This window comes from Homo sapiens, chromosome 2 (assembly GCF_000001405.40).
Source record: "Homo sapiens chromosome 2, GRCh38.p14 Primary Assembly".
NCBI lineage: Eukaryota > Metazoa > Chordata > Mammalia > Primates > Hominidae > Homo > Homo sapiens.
This window is the reverse complement of record NC_000002.12, coordinates 177,963,392-177,981,475: the sequence shown is the minus strand read 5'-3', so window position 1 is coordinate 177,981,475 and position 18,084 is coordinate 177,963,392. Positions and strand designations below refer to the sequence as shown.

General features: G+C 39.5%; 1 protein-coding gene across 2 annotated transcripts in view, besides 2 other annotated features; it reads left to right on the top strand.

The window, feature by feature from the left end:
- The window catches only part of PDE11A (phosphodiesterase 11A), a 485,096-nt gene that overhangs the window by 126,864 nt on the left and 340,148 nt on the right, over nucleotides 1-18,084 (top strand). The window lies entirely within an intron of this gene.
- Nucleotides 7,512-8,180: an enhancer, noted in NCBI's record as "NANOG-H3K27ac-H3K4me1 hESC enhancer chr2:178838023-178838691 (GRCh37/hg19 assembly coordinates)". NCBI's record gives its function as "activates a minimal SCP1, AML or CMV promoter by ChIP-STARR-seq in naive H9 embryonic stem cells {active_cell/tissue: H9 hESC(naive)}" and the evidence as "EXISTENCE:reporter gene assay evidence [ECO:0000049][PMID:30033119]".
- Nucleotides 8,181-8,849: an enhancer, noted in NCBI's record as "H3K27ac-H3K4me1 hESC enhancer chr2:178837354-178838022 (GRCh37/hg19 assembly coordinates)". NCBI's record gives its function as "activates a minimal SCP1, AML or CMV promoter by ChIP-STARR-seq in naive H9 embryonic stem cells {active_cell/tissue: H9 hESC(naive)}" and the evidence as "EXISTENCE:reporter gene assay evidence [ECO:0000049][PMID:30033119]".

The following is an 18,084-nucleotide window of genomic DNA, read 5'->3' as shown; positions in this document are numbered from 1 at the left end:
TGTGAAGACTGGAGTTATGCTGCCATAAACCAAAAAATGCCTGGGGATACCAGAACCTGAAGACAGCAAGGAAAGATCTTTCCTTTACAGTCTCAAAGGGAGCAGGACCCTTCTGACACCTTGATTTTAGACTTCTAGCCTCCAGAACTGTGAGACAATACATTTCAGTCGTTCTAAGCCACCTAATTTGTGGTACTTTGTTATAGCAGCCCTAGGAAACTAATACAGTAAATATTGAGCTAGTACTTTCTGCCATGCCCTTTGATGAGCACTTGACAAAAATTGTCTTATTTACATCTAGGACCAATCTCAGGAAGGCTATTATTATCTTCCCAAGATACTAACAAGTCAAGATAACTAGCTTACTGGAGGTTAAGTGATTTGCCCAAGATCACACAGCTATTAAGTGAAGGAGCTGGGATTTTAACTGAGATTGGTTTAACTCTACCTTCTGCTGTGTGTGTGTGTGTGTGTGTGTGTGTGTGTGTGTGTGTGTGTGTATCTAGTTCTCACTGGTTTAAGGTCGTAGCCACTTTCACACCACCCTCATGTCTCATTGAGAACCACCCACCTCTATTTAAAGAATTGCTCTTGAAATTCACTGACAACCCCACCTTTCATGTTCAAGGGCACAAGTAAGACTCTTCATTTCTCTGACAATAAAAGGTTGGTAATATTCTCTTGACTCTTTGTAATTCGAAATTTTTATAGCCTTATTGGCCTTTTCGCCCACGCCTCTCAAATTATTTCTGCTTTTTTCCATCACCCAAATTGTTGTAGTTTAATATGTGCAACAGAGTGAAAAATCTGCATGGAGTCAATTTTCTGCTTCAAAAGAATTTCTTTTAAAAAATCCAACCAATGTCTTCATAAAAAACTAAATAAATCTGCATTGAATTGTGTAGATGTCAGAGACACTGAACCTGGGCTAAAACTTAGAACCCAAAATTGTATCAGTGAGAATAACCCAATCATTCTGAGAACAGCTGTCTTCCAAAGGTCAAAGTAAGTGCCGTATTTTTACTAATACTTATGTCTATGTTACAGTTTGACTCCATTCACTGATCAAAAATCCAAACCAAGAAAAAAGTTTAATTTATAACAATGCCACAGGTTGATGCAGTTAAAAAAGAATTACGGTTAGACCAATAGTTACACAATACAGACAGTTGATTGGACATTAGTCATAGGATATAAAAGCTAAAACTATCAAATTAGATTTCTATTAACTCATCAGAGATAGAATTGGGAATATCGGGATAGACTTGATTTATAATGCCTAAAATTTCTCCTTAGCTGGTATTCTTCGTTTTTTTTTTAGGATGTCACTTTCTACTTATTGGTCTACCTTAAAGCAGTAGGTTTGAAACTTTTTTGACTGTGACCCATAGTCATGGCAGTCAGGGGAGGAGTTTCAAGAAGGAGGGCTATCAGCACTGTCAACTGCTTCAGAGAGATTAAAAGGATGATTAAGATAATCTTGATATTTGGGGATCATTATTTATTGAAACAAATGTTCTTACTATTGTTTGATGTTTTCACTATTGTTTGATAAAAATGATCATCTGCCGGGCGCGGTGGCTCACGCTTGTAATCCCAGCACTTTGAGAGGCTGAGGCAGGCGGATCATGAGGTCAGGAGATCGAGACCATCCTGGCTAACATGGTGAAACCCCGTCTCTACTAAAAATACAAAAAATGAGCCGGGCGTGGTGGCAGGCGCCTGTAGTCCCAGCTACGCGGGAGGCTGAGGCAGGAAAATGTCATGAACCCGGGAAGCAGAGCTTGCAGTGAGCTGAGATTGCGCCACTGCACTCCAGGCTGGGCGACAGAGTGAGACTCTGTCTCAAAAAAAAAAAAAAAAAGATCATCTGAGGATATCCATTCACACTTGAGTAATAAAGCTGTCAGAGAGATGCAAGTCCCTGGATTCCACAGAATTGAGACGCTGCATACCAGGAAAACCCTACCTCTTTGTAGGTGTTCCATGTTTCAAAAACATTGCTATATAGACAAACCACCAAGGCCTTAGGCAACTCACAAGACAGCATTTATGCATCCTGAACCTTGAGTTGGCTATCTCATAACAATATAAAAATAATTACCAACCATGTAAGCCATATTTCATTTTCTTTTTCTTTTTATATTGGTCACCCCCAACACATTGTTTATAAAGTAGGAAGAAGTCACTAGTTTTATATGTCAACCTAAAATAACAGCAGAGACAGACTTTCCAAAAAGAAGTTTATTCAGGAATAGCAAGGGATTGCAATCTGGGACATATGCATGCTATGGTGAACCATAGACACATCCAAAGGGGTTGGGGAAAGGGGGAAGCTTTTAAAGATAAAAAGGAGAAATTCATGTAAGCCATTTTCTTTCTTTTTTTTTTTTTTTTTATTATACTCTAAGTTTTAGGGTACATGTGCACATTGTGCAGGTTAGTTACATATGTATACATGTGCCATGCTGGTGCGCTGCACCCACTAATGTGTCATCTAGCATTAGGTATATCTCCCAATGCTATCCCTCCCCCCTCCCCCCGACCCCACCACAGTCCCCAGAGTGTGATATTCCCCTTCCTGTGTCCATGTGATCTCATTGTTCAATTCCCACCTATGAGTGAGAATATGCGGTGTTTGGTTTTTTGTTCTTGCAATAGTTTACTGAGAATGATGGTTTCCAATTTCATCCATGTCCCTACAAAGGATATGAACTCATCATTTTTTATGGCTGCATAGTATTCCATGGTGTATATGTGCCACATTTTCTTAATCCAGTCTATCATTGTTGGACATTTGGGTTGGTTCCAAGTCTTTGCTATTGTGAATAGTGCTGCAATAAACATACGTGTGCATGTGTCTTTATAGCAGCATGATTTATAGTCCTTTGGGTATATACCCAGTAATGGGATGGCTGGGTCAAATGGTATTTCTAGTTCTAGATCCCTGAGGAATCGCCACACTGACTTCCACAATGGTTGAACTAGTTTACAGTCCCACCAACAGTGTAAAAGTGTTCCTATTTCTCCACATCCTCTCCAGCACCTGTTGTTTCCTGACTTTTTAATGATTGCCATTCTAACTGGTGTGAGATGATATCTCATAGTGGTTTTGATTTGCATTTCTCTGATGGCCAGTGATGATGAGCATTTCTTCATGTGTTTTTTGGCTGCATAAATGTCTTCTTTTGAGAAGTGTCTGTTCATGTCCTTCGCCCACTTTTTGATGGGGTTGTTTGTTTTTTTCTTGTAAATTTGTTTGAGTTCATTGTAGATTCTGGATATTAGCCCTTTGTCAGATGAGTAGGTTGCGAAAATTTTCTCCCATGTTGTAGGTTGCCTGTTCACTCTGATGGTAGTTTCTTTTGCTGTGCAGAAGCTCTTTAGTTTAATTAGATCCCATTTGTCAATTTTGGCTTTTGTTGCCATTGCTTTTGGTGTTTTGGACATGAAGTCCTTGCCCACGCCTATGTCCTGAATGGTAATGCCTAGGTTTTCTTCTAGGGTTTTTATGGTTTTAGGTCTAACGTTTAAATCTTTAATCCATCTTGAATTGATTTTTGTATAAGGTGTAAGGAAGGGATCCAGTTTCAGCTTTCTACATATGGCTAGCCAGTTTTCCCAGCACCATTTATTAAATAGGGAATCCTTTCCCCATTGCTTGTTTTTCTCAGGTTTGTCAAAGATCAGATAGTTGTAGATATGCGGCATTATTTCTGTTCCATTGATCTATATCTCTGTTTTGGTACCAGTACCATGCTGTTTTGGTTACTGTAGCCTTGTAGTATAGTTTGAAGTCAGGTAGTGTGATGCCTCCAGCTTTGTTCTTTTGGCTTAGGATTGACTTGGCAATGCGGGCTCTTTTTTGGTTCCATATGAACTTTAAAGTAGTTTTTTCCAATTCTGTGAAGAAAGTCATTGGTAGCTTGATGGGGATGGCATTGAATCTGTAAATTACCTTGGGCAGTATGGCCATTTTCACGATATTGATTCTTCCTACCCATGAGCATGGAATGTTCTTCCATTTGTTTGTGTCCTCTTTTATTTCCTTGAGCAGTGGTTTGTAGTTCTCCTTGAAGAGGTCCTTCACATCCCTTGTAAGTTGGATTCCTAGGTATTTTATTCTCTGAAGCAATTGTGAATGGGAGTTTACCCATGATTTGGCTCTCTGTTTGTCTGTTGTTGGTGTATAAGAATGCTTGTGATTTTTGTACATTGATTTTGTATCCTGAGACTTTGCTGAAGTTGCTTATCAGCTTAAGGAGATTTTGGGCTGAGACGATGGGGTTTTCTAGATAAACAATCATGTCATCTGCAAACAGGGACAATTTGACTTCCTCTTTTCCTAATTGAATACCCTTTATTTCCTTCTCCTGCCTGATTGCCCTGGCCAGAACTTCCAACACTATGTTGAATAGGAGCGGTGAGAGAGGGCATCCCTGTCTTGTGCCAGTTTTCAAAGGGAATGCTTCCAGTTTTTGCCCATTCAGTATGATATTGGCTGTGGGTTTGTCATAGATAGCTCTTATTATTTTGAAATACGTCCCATCAATACCTAATTTATTGAGAGTTTTTAGCATGAAGGGTTGTTGAATTTTGTCAAAGGCTTTTTCTGCATCTATTGAGATAATCATGTGGTTTTTGTCTTTGGCTCTGTTTATATGCTGGATTACATTTATTGATTTGCGTATATTGAACCAGCCTTGCATCCCAGGGATGAAGCCCACTTGATCATGGTGGATAAGCTTTTTGATGTGCTGCTGGATTCGGTTTGCCAGTATTTTATTGAGGATTTTTGCATCAATGTTCATCAAGGATATTGGTCTAAAATTCTCTTTTTTGGTTGTGTCTCTGCCCGGCTTTGGTGTCAGAATGATGCTGGCCTCATAAAATGAGTTAGGGAGGATTCCCTCTTTTTCTATTGATTGGAATAGTTTCAGAAGGAATGGTACCAGTTCCTCCTTGTACCTCTGGTAGAATTCGGCTGTGAATCCATCTGGTCCTGGACTCTTTTTGGTTGGTAAACTATTGATTATTGCCACAATTTCAGAGCCTGTTATTGGTCTATTCAGAGATTCAACTTCTTCCTGATTTAGTCTTGGGAGAGTGTATGTGTCGAGGAATGTATCCATTTCTTCTAGATTTTCTAGTTTATTTGCGTAGAGGTGTTTGTAGTATTCTCTGATGGTAGTTTGTATTTCTGTGGGATCGGTGGTGATATCCCCTTTATCATTTTTTATTGTGTCTATTTGATTCTTCTCTCTTTTTTTCTTTATTAGTCTTGCTAGCGGTCTATCAATTTTGTTGATCCTTTCAAAAAACCAGCTCCTGGATTCATTGATTTTTTGAAGGGTTTTTTGTGTCTCTATTTCCTTCAGTTCTGCTCTGATTTTAGTTATTTCTTGCCTTCTGCTAGCTTTTGAATGTGTTTGCTCTTGCTTTTCTAGTTCTTTTAATTGTGATGTTAGGGTGTCAATTTTGGATCTTTCCTGCTTTCTCTTGTAGGCATTTAGTGCTATAAATTTCCCTCTACACACTGCTTTGAATGCGTCCCAGAGATTCTGGTATGTGGTGTCTTTGTTCTCGTTGGTTTCAAAGAACATCTTTATTTCTGCCTTCATTTCGTTATGTACCCAGTAGTCATTCAGGAGCAGGTTGTTCAGTTTCCATGTAGTTGAGCGGCTTTGAGTGAGATTCTTAATCCTGAGTTCTAGTTTGATTGCACTGTGGTCTGAGAGATAGTTTGTTATAATTTCTGTTCTTTTACATTTGCTGAGGAGAGCTTTACTTCCAACTATGTGGTCAATTTTGGAATAGGTGTGGTGTGGTGCTGAAAAAAATGTATATTCTGTTGATTTGGGGTGGAGAGTTCTGTAGATGTCTATTAGGTCTGCTTGGTGCAGAGCTGAGTTCAATTCCTGGGTATCCTTGTTGACTTTCTGTCTCGTTGATCTGTCTAATGTTGACAGTGGGGTGTTAAAGTCTCCCATTATTAATGTATGGGAGTCTAAGTCTCTTTGTAGGTCACTGAGGACTTGCTTTATGAATCTGGGTGCTCCTGTATTGGGTGCATAAATATTTAGGATAGTTAGCTCCTCTTGTTGAATTGATCCCTTTACCATTATGTAATGGCCTTCTTTGTCTCTTTTGATCTTTGTTGGTTTAAAGTCTGTTTTATCAGAGACTAGGATTGCAACCCCTGCCTTTTTTTGTTTTCCATTTGCTTGGTAGATCTTCCTCCATCCTTTTATTTTGAGCCTATGTGTGTCTCTGCACGTGAGATGGGTTTCCTGAATACAGCACACTGATGGGTCTTGACTCTTTATCCAACTTGCCAGTCTGTGTCTTTTAATTGCAGAATTTAGTCCATTTATATTTAAAGTTAATATTGTTATGTGTGAATTTGATCCTGTCATTATGATGTTAGCTGGTGATTTTGCTCATTAGTTGATGCAGTTTCTTCCTAGTCTCGATGGTCTTTACATTTTGGCATGATTTTGCAGCGGCTGGTACCGGTTGTTCCTTTCCATATTTAGCGCTTCCTTCAGGAGCTCTTTTAGGGCAGGCCTGGTGGTGACAAAATCTCTCAGCATTTGCTTGTCTATAAAGTATTTTATTTCTCCTTCACTTATGAAGCTTAGTTTGGCTGGATATGAAATTCTGGGTTGAAAATTCTTTTCTTTAAGAATGTTGAATATTGGCCCCCACTCTCTTCTGGCTTGTAGGGTTTCTGCCGAGAGATCCGCTGTTAGTCTGATGGGCTTTCCTTTGAGGGTAACCCGACCTTTCTCTCTGGCTGCCCTTAACATTTTTTCCTTCATTTCAACTTTGGTGAATCTGACAATTATGTGTCTTGGAGTTGCTCTTCTCGAGGAGTATCTTTGTGGCGTTCTCTGTATTTCCTGAATCTGAACGTTGGCCTGCCTTGCTAGATTGGGGAAGTTCTCCTGGATAATATCCTGCAGAGTGTTTTCCAACTTGGTTCCATTCTCCACATCACTTTCAGGTACACCAATCAGACGTAGATTTGGTCTTTTCACATAGTCCCATATTTCTTAGAGGCTTTGCTCATTTCTTTTTATTATTTTTTCTCTAAACTTCCCTTCTCGCTTCATTTCATTCATTTCATCTTCCATTGCTGATACCCTTTCTTCCAGTTGATCGCATCGGCTCCTGAGGCTTCTGCATTCTTCACGTAGTTCTCGAGCCTTGGTTTTCAGCTCCATCAGCTCCTTTAAGCACTTCTCTGTATTGGTTATTCTAGTTATACATTCTTCTAAATTTTTTTCAAAGTTTTCAACTTCTTTGCCTTTGGTTTGAATGTCCTCCCGTAGCTCAGAGTAATTTGATCGTCTGAAGCCTTCTTCTCTCAGCTCGTCAAAATCATTCTCCATCCAGCTTTGTTCTGTTGCTGGTGAGGAACTGCGTTCCTTTGGAGGAGGAGAGGCGCTCTGCGTTTTAGAGTTTCCAGTTTTTCTGTTCTGTTTTTTCCCCATCTTTGTGGTTTTATCTACTTTTGGTCTTTGATGATGGTGATGTACAGATGGGTTTTCGGTGTAGATGTCCTTTCTGGTTGTTAGTTTTCCTTCTAACAGACAGGACCCTCAGCTGCAGGTCTGTTGGAATACCCTGCCGTGTGAGGTGTCAGTGTGCCCCTGCTGGGGGGTGCCTCCCAGTTAGGCTGGTCGGGGGTCAGGGGTCAGGGACCCACTTGAGGAGGCAGTCTGCCCGTTCTCAGATCTCCAGCTGCGTGCTAGGAGAACCACTGCTCTCTTCAAAGCTGTCAGACAGGGACACTTAAGTCTGCAGAGGTTACTGCTGTCTTTTTGTTTGTCTGTGCCCTGCCCCCAGAGGTGGAGCCTACAGAGGCAGGCAGGCCTCCTTGAGCTGTGGTGGGCTCCACCCAGTTCGAGCTTCCTGGCTGCTTTGTTTACCTAAGCAAGCCTGGACAATGGCGGGCGCCCCTCCCCCAGCCTCGTTGCCGCCTTGCAGTTTGATCTCAGACTGCTGTGCTAGCAATCAGCGAGATTCCGTGGGCGTAGGACCCTCTGAGCCAGGTGTGGGATATAGTCTCGTGGTGCGCCGTTTCTTAAGCCGGTCTGAAAAGCGCAATATTCGGGTGGGAGTGACCCGATTTTCCAGGTGCGTCCGTCACCCCTTTCTTTGACTCGGAAAGGGAACTCCCTGACCCCTTGCGCTTCCCAGGTGAGGCAATGCCTCGCCCTGCTTCGGCTCGCGCACGGTGCGCACACACACTGGCCTGCGCCCACTGTCTGGCACTCCCTAGTGAGATGAACCCGGTACCTCAGATGGAAATGCAGAAATCACCCGTCTTCTGCGTCGCTCACGCTGGGAGCTGTAGACCGGAGCTGTTCCTATTCGGCCATCTTGACTCCTCCTCCCTCAGCCATTTTCTTGAGTATTCTGAGTCACAGCCACATATATCTAATGGGCTATCAGATCTTGCCTGCTGTGCCACAGAACTCCCAAACTGCCTTATCCACTCTGGCCCTATCTCATGAAGCTTTCCCCATCTCTCATCAGAGCTGTTATCATAGGCACAACTTCCCTTCTCTCAGTTTAGCAGATCCAAAGCTTTTCTTCCCCACCTAAGTGCCTACCAACCTCTACCCTAGTCCCATTTATTTGGTAACTGGCTCATTGGTTACAGAGAAGGGCGTCTGGTAGGAGCCTTACCTGTAAACTGACCAGTTGGGATGCTTGTTCTAACTTCTTAGCCTCTGTCCCACCGATGTCCCTTCTTCTGTCTAGGGCCAACTCCTCCTCATATACATAGGACCCTTTGCCCACCCATCTTCTTTATAGCTTTTTTTTCTTTCAGCTTTTTCTTCTCCTCTAACTCATTCCCCCTTGCTAACCTCTCCCCTATCATAAAACATCCTTTTTGCAATTCAGCCATTCTTTCCACATCTCTCTCTCTCTGCTTTCCTTGAAGGATAAACATCTTGAGGGAGGATTTTACACCTGATGTGGCCACTCCATCCATTTTCATTTATTCTTCACTCTAGTTTAATTTGGCTTTCTCCCCACCACTTCACTGGATGCTTCACTGAGGTTGAGTATTACCTGCCAGACAAATCCCAGGGTGTATTTTGAGTCATCAGCTCCTCTTGATCTTAGAGCAATAACTGATACTGTTTGAAATCTCTCTGGCCTTCTGTCACTGTTCTCTTCCTGTCTCTTGGACCATTCCTTCTCAGGCTTCTCTTTCCTGCATGCCCTTCAGTGTCAGGGTTCTTTATGTAATCCTCTTCTACAAATGGTCTACATTTTTTAAGTGGTCTTTTTCCTTTTCATGACATTGTCTACCACTTTTACCTTGAGATTTCTAAATTGCTCTTTGTAGCTCTGCTCACCTATTATACAAACTTAGCTTGATGGATTTAGCTTTTGTATCCTACTGCTGGTATCACTTTCATCTAAGTGAGGAAGACAAATAAGAAAGTGATATGTATTTCTTACTTTCTTATGAGACTCTATTGGTGTCTAGATGGTTCTATATCCAGTTCTTATTATGCCCAGAAGTCCACAATGGAAAGTCACTACTGGGTAATCACATTATGTCTTTTATAACTGCCTTTTTTTTTTCTGAATTACTTAGAGGTTGCTATTTTCTAGAATTTTCTTTTTGAATTGTCTGGATGTTCCCACCAGCTCTGTAATAAGTTGAGTGACTGGTATTATTGTCCCTTTTCTGCTATTATATTAATGGGCAGGAAGAGAAATACCCTGGTGACCTTACATAACGGGACTTATTATAAATATCAGCCTCCTCCATCCCCTCTCTCTTCCTCTTCCTTCCCCCATCTCCTTCTCTCTGTCTAGACAGTGGATGACCAGTCAATAAAGGATGTCCCTATTTGGTGTTCTTCAACTTGGAACAGATCTATGTTTTAGTCAGTTATTTCAGTTTAGTTTAGTATTAGTTTAGTCAGCTAAGGTAGCAGGATGACATCCATGACTTTGTGAAAAGCTTCCTAAAACTGAAAGTATCTGTGGAGGTAGGATAATTGCTAGGGACTTTTGAGCCTTCCTAGCCTGACAGGCTAGCTGTGGGGACCTGGGCAAGTCACTTAGCCCTCATGAGTTCTAATATCCACATATGTAAACCTACTGACTTCTCCTTCCTACTTCATGGGCAGTTTGTGTGGGAGAAAATCAATATGAAAAGAAAAGGAAAAGTAAATATACTGTAGGTGGCTGGTAACTATTTTTGTATTGTTATGAAATAGCCGGCTCAAGGTTCACATGCATAGCTGCTGTCTTGTGAGTTGCCTAAGGCCTTGCTAATGAGTGGTTTTTCTATACAGCAATGTTTGTTGGAACATGAAGAGGTAGGGTTTTCTTGTTATGCAGCTTCTCAATCCTATAGAATCCAGGGACTTGTAGCTCTCTGACAGCTTTATTACTCAAGTGTGAATGTATATCCCCAGATGACTATTTTAATCAAACAATAGTAAGTACATTTGCCTCAATAAGTAATGATCCCCAGGTAACAAGTAATCATGGTCATCCTTTTAATCTCTCTGAAGCAGTTGATGGTGCTGATAGCCCTCCTTCCTGAAACTCCTCCCCTGACTGCTATGACTCCATGCTGTAAGACTCTGGTGGACTGCCTGCCTTAGTCTTCCCCTGTTGTACCTCCCGTGATTCACTTCTTTTACCTTCTTTTATCTTGAAGTGGTGGTGTCTCCAAAGTTGCTGTCTTCTGCTTTCCTTTATGTTCTACAGTCTATCTCTTGGGAGTCTCATTAGCGTACATTATTTCAACTAACACTTTTATGCTAAACCTAGGTCACTAGGCTTATTTGACTTCTGAAGCTCCAAGGCCCCACAGGTCATTTCTGTTTGGATCTTCTGCTTGCTTCTCAAATGCTACATACCCTGAATCAAACTCACTAACTTCCTCTGCTTGTGTCCTGAGTTTCATCATTCTCTTGAGTTTTCTGTGTTGGTCAGTTTTTCAACTACTTGGCTAGAGGCATTGGCATCATCCTTTATTCTGCTCCTCCCTCTAATCTCATGTCTATATCTAACTAATTAGATATAGTCAAAGTCTATCGATGTGACCTAGAAATGACTCTTGGATCTATAACCTTTAAAAATGAGAGTTTATATTTCTACATTCTTGATTCTTGCTCTCACTCTCTGGACTACTATTGCTAGAATTACATTTTTACAGTCCTAATGTAAACGTGTCAGTTTAAATATTTGACAGCTCTCTATTGCTTCTAGCATAAAACCAAAACTTTTTAGCATGGCATTTGAATGGTTTCAGGATTGAGTCTCAACTACTTCTCGAGTCTCTGGACAAATCACCCATATGTTTCACACTTGATTTACGTTGGAATTTTTGCCATTTACAGTACTCGAAATGCATATTCCCAGCTTGTTATCTTTGCTTATTCAATTCCTTTAGTCCAGAATTCATTTAAAGTCACTAACATTCATTAAAGTTCCCCATATGATACCATTCAATAAATGTTTCTTGGATAGAATTATCATTATTAACTTCCCTCCTGAGCATAAATATGAAAGCAGAGGTCAATTTTTTTTCAACATTGTATTTCCAGTAATTAGAAGAATGCCAAATGCATAGTAGATATTCAAAAATATTTACTTGGAAATAAAATCTTTAGAATGACTAGTCTTCACGGTTATATGTATTTTTAATACTCATTTATTCCCCAGGAGATACAAAGTAGTGTAATACAATCTTGTAAATACAAGATTGGCACTGACATAATTAGTTGCAAACCCCACTTTTAGTCACTAAGATCTGATTGTTGATAATAATGAATATTTATAGGGAGAGGCTTACTTACTTTTTTTCTTTACATAAAATTTTGCACATATAGGAATCATGGGTTTCAGTATCATATATTACAGGGCACATCTCTGTTCCTTGATTTCTATTAGCACAGCTTAACAATATAGTGCTCATGGAACACTGAGTGTTTATATCAACATTAACAGTGAAATTATGGGTATAATGCAAACACTGGAGAGTTTTTTTTTATTATTTTACTTTAAGTTCTGGGATTCATGTGCAGAATGTGCAGGTTTGTTACATAGGTATACATGTGCCATGGTGGTTTGCTACACCCATCAACCCATCATCTAGGTTTTCAGCCCCACATGCATTAGGTATTTCTCCTAATGCTATCCCTCCCCTTGCCTCCCAACCCCGACAGGACCGGTGTGTGATGTTCCCCTCCCTGTGTCCATGTGTTCTCATTGTTCAACTCCCATTTATGAATGAGAACATGTGGTGTTTGGCTTTCTGTTCCTGTGTTAGTTCGCTGAGAATGATGGCTTCCAGCTTCATTCATGTCCCTGCAAAGGACACGAACTCATTCTTTTTTATAGCTGCATAGTATTCCATGGTGTATATGTGTCACATTTTCTTTATCCAGTCTATCATCGATGGACATTTGGGTTGGTTCCAAGTCTTTGCTATTGTTAATAGTGTTGCAATAAACATACATGTGTATGTGTTCTTATAGTAGAATGATTTATAATCCTTTGGACATATACCCAGTAATGGGATTGCCAGATCAAATGGTATTTCTGGTTCTAGATCTTTGAGGAATCACCACACTGTCTTACACAATGGTTGAACTAATTTACCCTCCCACCAACAGTGTACAAGTGTTCCTGTTTCTCCATATCCTCGCCAGCATCTGTTGTTTTCTGACTTTTTAATAATTGCCATTCTAAATGGTGTGAGATGGTATCTCATTGTGGTTTTGATTTGCATTTCTCTAGTAATGGTTAGCTTTTTTTCATATGTTTGTTGAGAGTTTTTAATAATGGAAAAATTGGTTCATCCTATAGGAATTTATTTGACTGCATATGAGTATTTTCACCTGAATTGTTTGCTTTTTAAAATAGTTATGTAAGCTTGGGTTTATTTGGAATTGTATGTAGTAGTTCTTTGTTATCTTCTCAACTAGTGAGCATCACTTAGAAGAACATCAGAATTACAAATTTTCTTTAGTTTGCTATAGAAAAAACAATTTCTACCTTAGCATAATTTCTGTGATCTAGATAAAATAGGAATCAATCAAAATCTAACAAAAAGGAGAAATATTTGTCTTTTTAGCTGGGTTTGCCTGAACAAATTATTTTATTGCTTTGAGAACCACAGGGAAGACTAATTGGTGTTGACATAAAAATAAATGTTTCTGTTGATAAACCTTGATTTATTAGGAGAAAAAAGAATATCTTACAGTTTAGAGTCAGAATAAATACAGTCTCTGTTTTTTGTTGTTGTTTGTTTGTTTGTTTGTCTTTGTTACCTTGTTACCAAGGTCTAGGGGATAAATAAGAATTAGCACCTCGTCTGATAAACACCTAATCACCACTCTCCCAGCTGAGAGGGTGTGAGAAAGTGATTAAAAGCATGGATATTGAAATCAATGTGGCTTGAATTACCATTTATTATCTGTGTGACTTTGGGCAAATGGCTGAATCTCTTTCAGACTCAATTTCTGCATTCATGAAATAGGTATTCATTTATTCATTCATTTATTCAATTATTCAATAAAACAAGCAAAAATACATTTGTCCTCATGGAATTTACATCTAATATGGCAATAATAACAGTACCTAGCTTCCACAATTGTTATGGGAATTAGCTGATAAATGCAGATAAACCGCTTAGCACAATGCCCAGCACCTAGTACATCTAGTAAATTAGAGAAAGTGACTAGTATAGTTTGACACACATATAGAAGAGGTGCTTGTGTGGGGATGGGCCCTGGGGAGACAGTAGATTGGGGCCAGGTTTTAGAGGCTGAGGTTTATTCAGTACTTACTACTGTCAGTCTATACTAGATGCTTTAAGCTTGTAACAATCCTGTGAGGCAGATATTAGAAATTAACGTTTATTCAATCATTCCTTCATTCAATCAAAAAACCTTTATTATAAACACAATCAAAAGTGACAAAGGAGGCTGGGCATAGTCACTCACACCTGTAATCCCAACACTTTTGGGAGGCTGTGGTGGGTGGATCACCTGAGGACAGGAGTTCAAGACCAGCCTGGACAACATGGCAAAACCTTGTCTCTACTAAAACTATAAAAAATTAGCTGGGTGTGGTGGTACATGCTTGTAATCCCAACTACTTGGGAGGCTGAGGCAGGAGAATCACTTGAACCCAGGAGGCGAAGGTTGCAGTGAGCCGAGATCCTGCCACTGTACTCAAGGCTGGGCGACACAGGGAGAGTAAAAAAAAAAAAAAAAAAAAAGACAAAGGAGACATTACCACCAATCCCATAGAAACACAAAACACCCTCAGAAACTATTACAAACACCTCCAGGCACACAAACTAGAAACCTAGAAGAAATGGATAAATTCCTGGAAACATACAGGAATGAACCAGTAAACAATTGAAACCATGAACAGACTGATAATGTGTTCCAAAATTGAACCAGTAATAAAAGCCTACCAACCAGAAGAAAACCTTGAATTAGATGGATTCATAGCCAAATTCTACCAGATGTATAAAGAAGAGCTGTCACCAATTCTATGAAACTATTCCAAAAAACTGAGAAGAGGGACTCCTTCCTAACCCATTCTATGAGGCCAGTGTCATTCTGTTACAAAAACCTTACAGAGACACAAGAAAAAAAGAAAATTTCAGGCATACATCCCTGATGAACATAAATGTAAAAATTCTCAAAAAAATACTAGCAAACTGAATCTAGCCGTATGTCAAAAAGCTAATCCACTATGACCAAGTAGGCTTTATTTCTGGGATGCAAAGTTGGGTCAACATATGCAAATCAATAAATGTGATTCATCACATAAGCAGAATTAAAAACAAAACCACAAGATCATCTTACAGACACAGAAAAGGCTTCCAATAAAATTGAACATCTCTTCATGTTAAAAAAAAACACCCTCTATAAACTAGGCATTGAAGGAACAGGAACATACTTCAAAATAATAAGAGCTATCTATGACAGACCCACAGCCAACATCATACTAAATGGGCAAAAACTGGAAGTATTCCCCTTGAGAACTACAGCAAGACAAGAATGTCCACTCTCATTGTTCCTATTCATCATAGTACTGGAAGACTCAGCCAGAGCAATCAAGCAAGAGAAAGAAATAAAAGACGAGAGGAAGTCAAACTATTTCTCTTCCCAGATGATATGATTTTATACCTAGAAAATCCCATACTCTGTGCCCCAAAGCTCCTAGATCTGGTAAACAACTTCAGCCAAGTTTCAGGATACAAAATCAATGTACAAAAATCAATAACGTTTCTATATACCAGCAATGTCCAAGCTGAGAGCCAAATCAAGAACACAATGCCATTCACAATAGCCACACAGAAAATAAAACACCTAGGAATACAGCTGTCTAGGGAGGTAAAAGATCTCTGCAATGTGAATTACGAAACACTGCTGAAAAAAATCAGAGACAACAAATACAAATGGAAAAACATTCCATGCTTATGGATTGGAAGAATCAATCATTAAAATGGCTATACTGCCCAAAGCAGTTTACAGATTCAATGCTATTCCTATCAAACTACCAATTACATTTTTCACAGAATTAGAAAAAACTATTTTAAAATTCATATGGAACCAGTATGAGCCCAAATAACTGAAGCAATACTAAGCAAAAAGAATAAAGCTGGAGGCCTCACACTACCTGACTTTAATCTATATGACAAGGCTGCATAACCAAAACAGCATGGTACTGATACAAAAATAAACAAATAAACCAATGGAACAGGTTAGAGAACCCAGAAATAAAGCCACACACCTACAACTATCTGATCTTCGACAAAGTTGACAAGAACAGGCAATGGAGAAAGGACTGTCTATTCAATAAATGGTGCTGGGATAACTGGCTAACCATATGCAGAAGAATGAAACTGGACCCCTTCATTTCACCATATATAAAAATCAACTCAAGATGGATTAAAAAGTTAAATGTAAAACTTAAAACTATAAAACCCTAGAAGAAAACCTAGGAAACACTATTCCGGACATAGATCCTGACAAAGATTTTATGACCAAGACTCCAAAAGCAATTGCAACGGAAAAATTGACAAATGGGAACTAATTAAGGAGCTTCTCCACAGCAAAAGAAACTATCAACAGAGTAAACAGACAACCTACAGGATGGGAGAAAATATTTGCAAATTATGCATCTGACAAAGGCCTAACATCCAGAATCTTTAAGGAACTTAAACAAATTAGCAAGCAAAAAGCAAACAATGCCATTAAAAAATGAGCAGAGGAGATGAACAGACACTTCTCAAAAGAAGACATACATACGGCCAGCAAGCATGTGAAAAAAGCTCAGCAACACTAATCATTAGAAATGCAAATCAAAACCACAATGTGTTACCATCTCACACCACTCAGAATGGCTCCTATTAAAACATCAAAAAATAACAGATGCTTGTGAGGTTGTAGAGAAAAGGGAACACTTATACACTGCTGGTGGGAATGTAAATTAGTTCAGCCATTATGGAAAGCAGTTTGGAGGTTTCTCAAAGAGCTTAAAACAGAACTATCATTTGACCCTGCAACCCCATTACTGGGTATATACCCAAAGGAATAGAAATCATTCTACCATAAAGACACATATACATGCACGTTCATCGCAGCACTAGTCACAACAACAAAGATACAGAATCAACTTAAATGTCCATCAGTGATGGACATGGATATACACCATGGAATACGATGCAGCCTTAAAAAACATGAGATTGTGTCCTTTGCAGCAACATGGATGGAGCTGGAGTCTATTATCCTAAGCAAATTAACACAGGAACAGAAAACCAAATACCACATGTTCCCACTTTTAAGTAGAAGCTAAACATTGAGAACATATGGACACAAAGAAGGGAACAATAGACGCTAGAGCCTATTTGAGGGTGAAGGGTTGGAAGAGGGTGAAGATCAAAAAACTACCTATCAGGCACTATGCTCATTACCTGGGTGATTAAATAACCGGTACAACAAACCCCTGCAACATGCAATTTACCCATGTAACAAACCTGCACATGTACCCCCTGAACCTAAAATAAAAGTTGGAAAGAAAAAAAATAGAAATAGAGTTAAGTAGTAAATACATAATCAACTAAATAGCTAAAAGTTTAATATGATTAACTCGGAGAAATAGATATGTGTATTATATAATTGAGGGATTGGTGGATAGAAGATAACACTTCTTTTAAAAATAAAACTTGAGGTTGCACTGAGCTGAGATGGCGCCACTGCACTCCAGCCTCTGTGACAGAGCAAGACCCTGTCTCAATAAAAAAAAAAACCAAACAAACAAAACAGAAATAAAATAAATCCTGTTGATTATTTGACTTTTTCAAGTTATTTATATGTATCACCTGGAAAATAATAGAAATTAAATAATATACAGTAATTTTTAAAAACAGCCATTATTGAGGATCTTCTCTATACCAGGCATTGTGCTAGGCACTGGAGATAAGAAGATGGGTAAGACTCAGGGCCTCCCTTGCAGAATCCACTCACGATGACAGTTCAGTGGAGGGCATGCCATGGCAGAGTAAAGCAGAGTACTTCCCCTGTACCTAACCCAGTCTGAAGGGGTGCAGCTGGATGGTGGAGGCCACTGGAAACATCTCCAGCTTGGGTTACAAAATGACTCCAGTTCTCAAGCAGCCACCGTGCCCCATCCTCAAGTTTTATTTGTGGCTTTCTAGATACTCTCTGGAAATTTGCCCTATACTTGTGCTTTAGGATAAAAGCTATTTTCAGATATCATATTTCTGCAGACAGATTTCAAGAGAGAAGCAGAGAATAGGGAAAGAATGGGTTGGGTGTTTCTCTGGATCTACTTTCTCACCTTGCAGGTGGACCAGGGGAGAGTAGTACTTGGGAAGCTGAACTGTGGCTAGGTGCAGGCAAGAGTGGATCTATTCACTCCACTGGACTTGAGTTTATCTTTGTAAGTTGGGAAAATAACTTTTCCTTGGAGTCATTTTTCATATTCAAAGGAATTATAGTAGGAACCTTTAAAGATCTGCTCCTGCTCTGATATCTCATAATTCTCCAT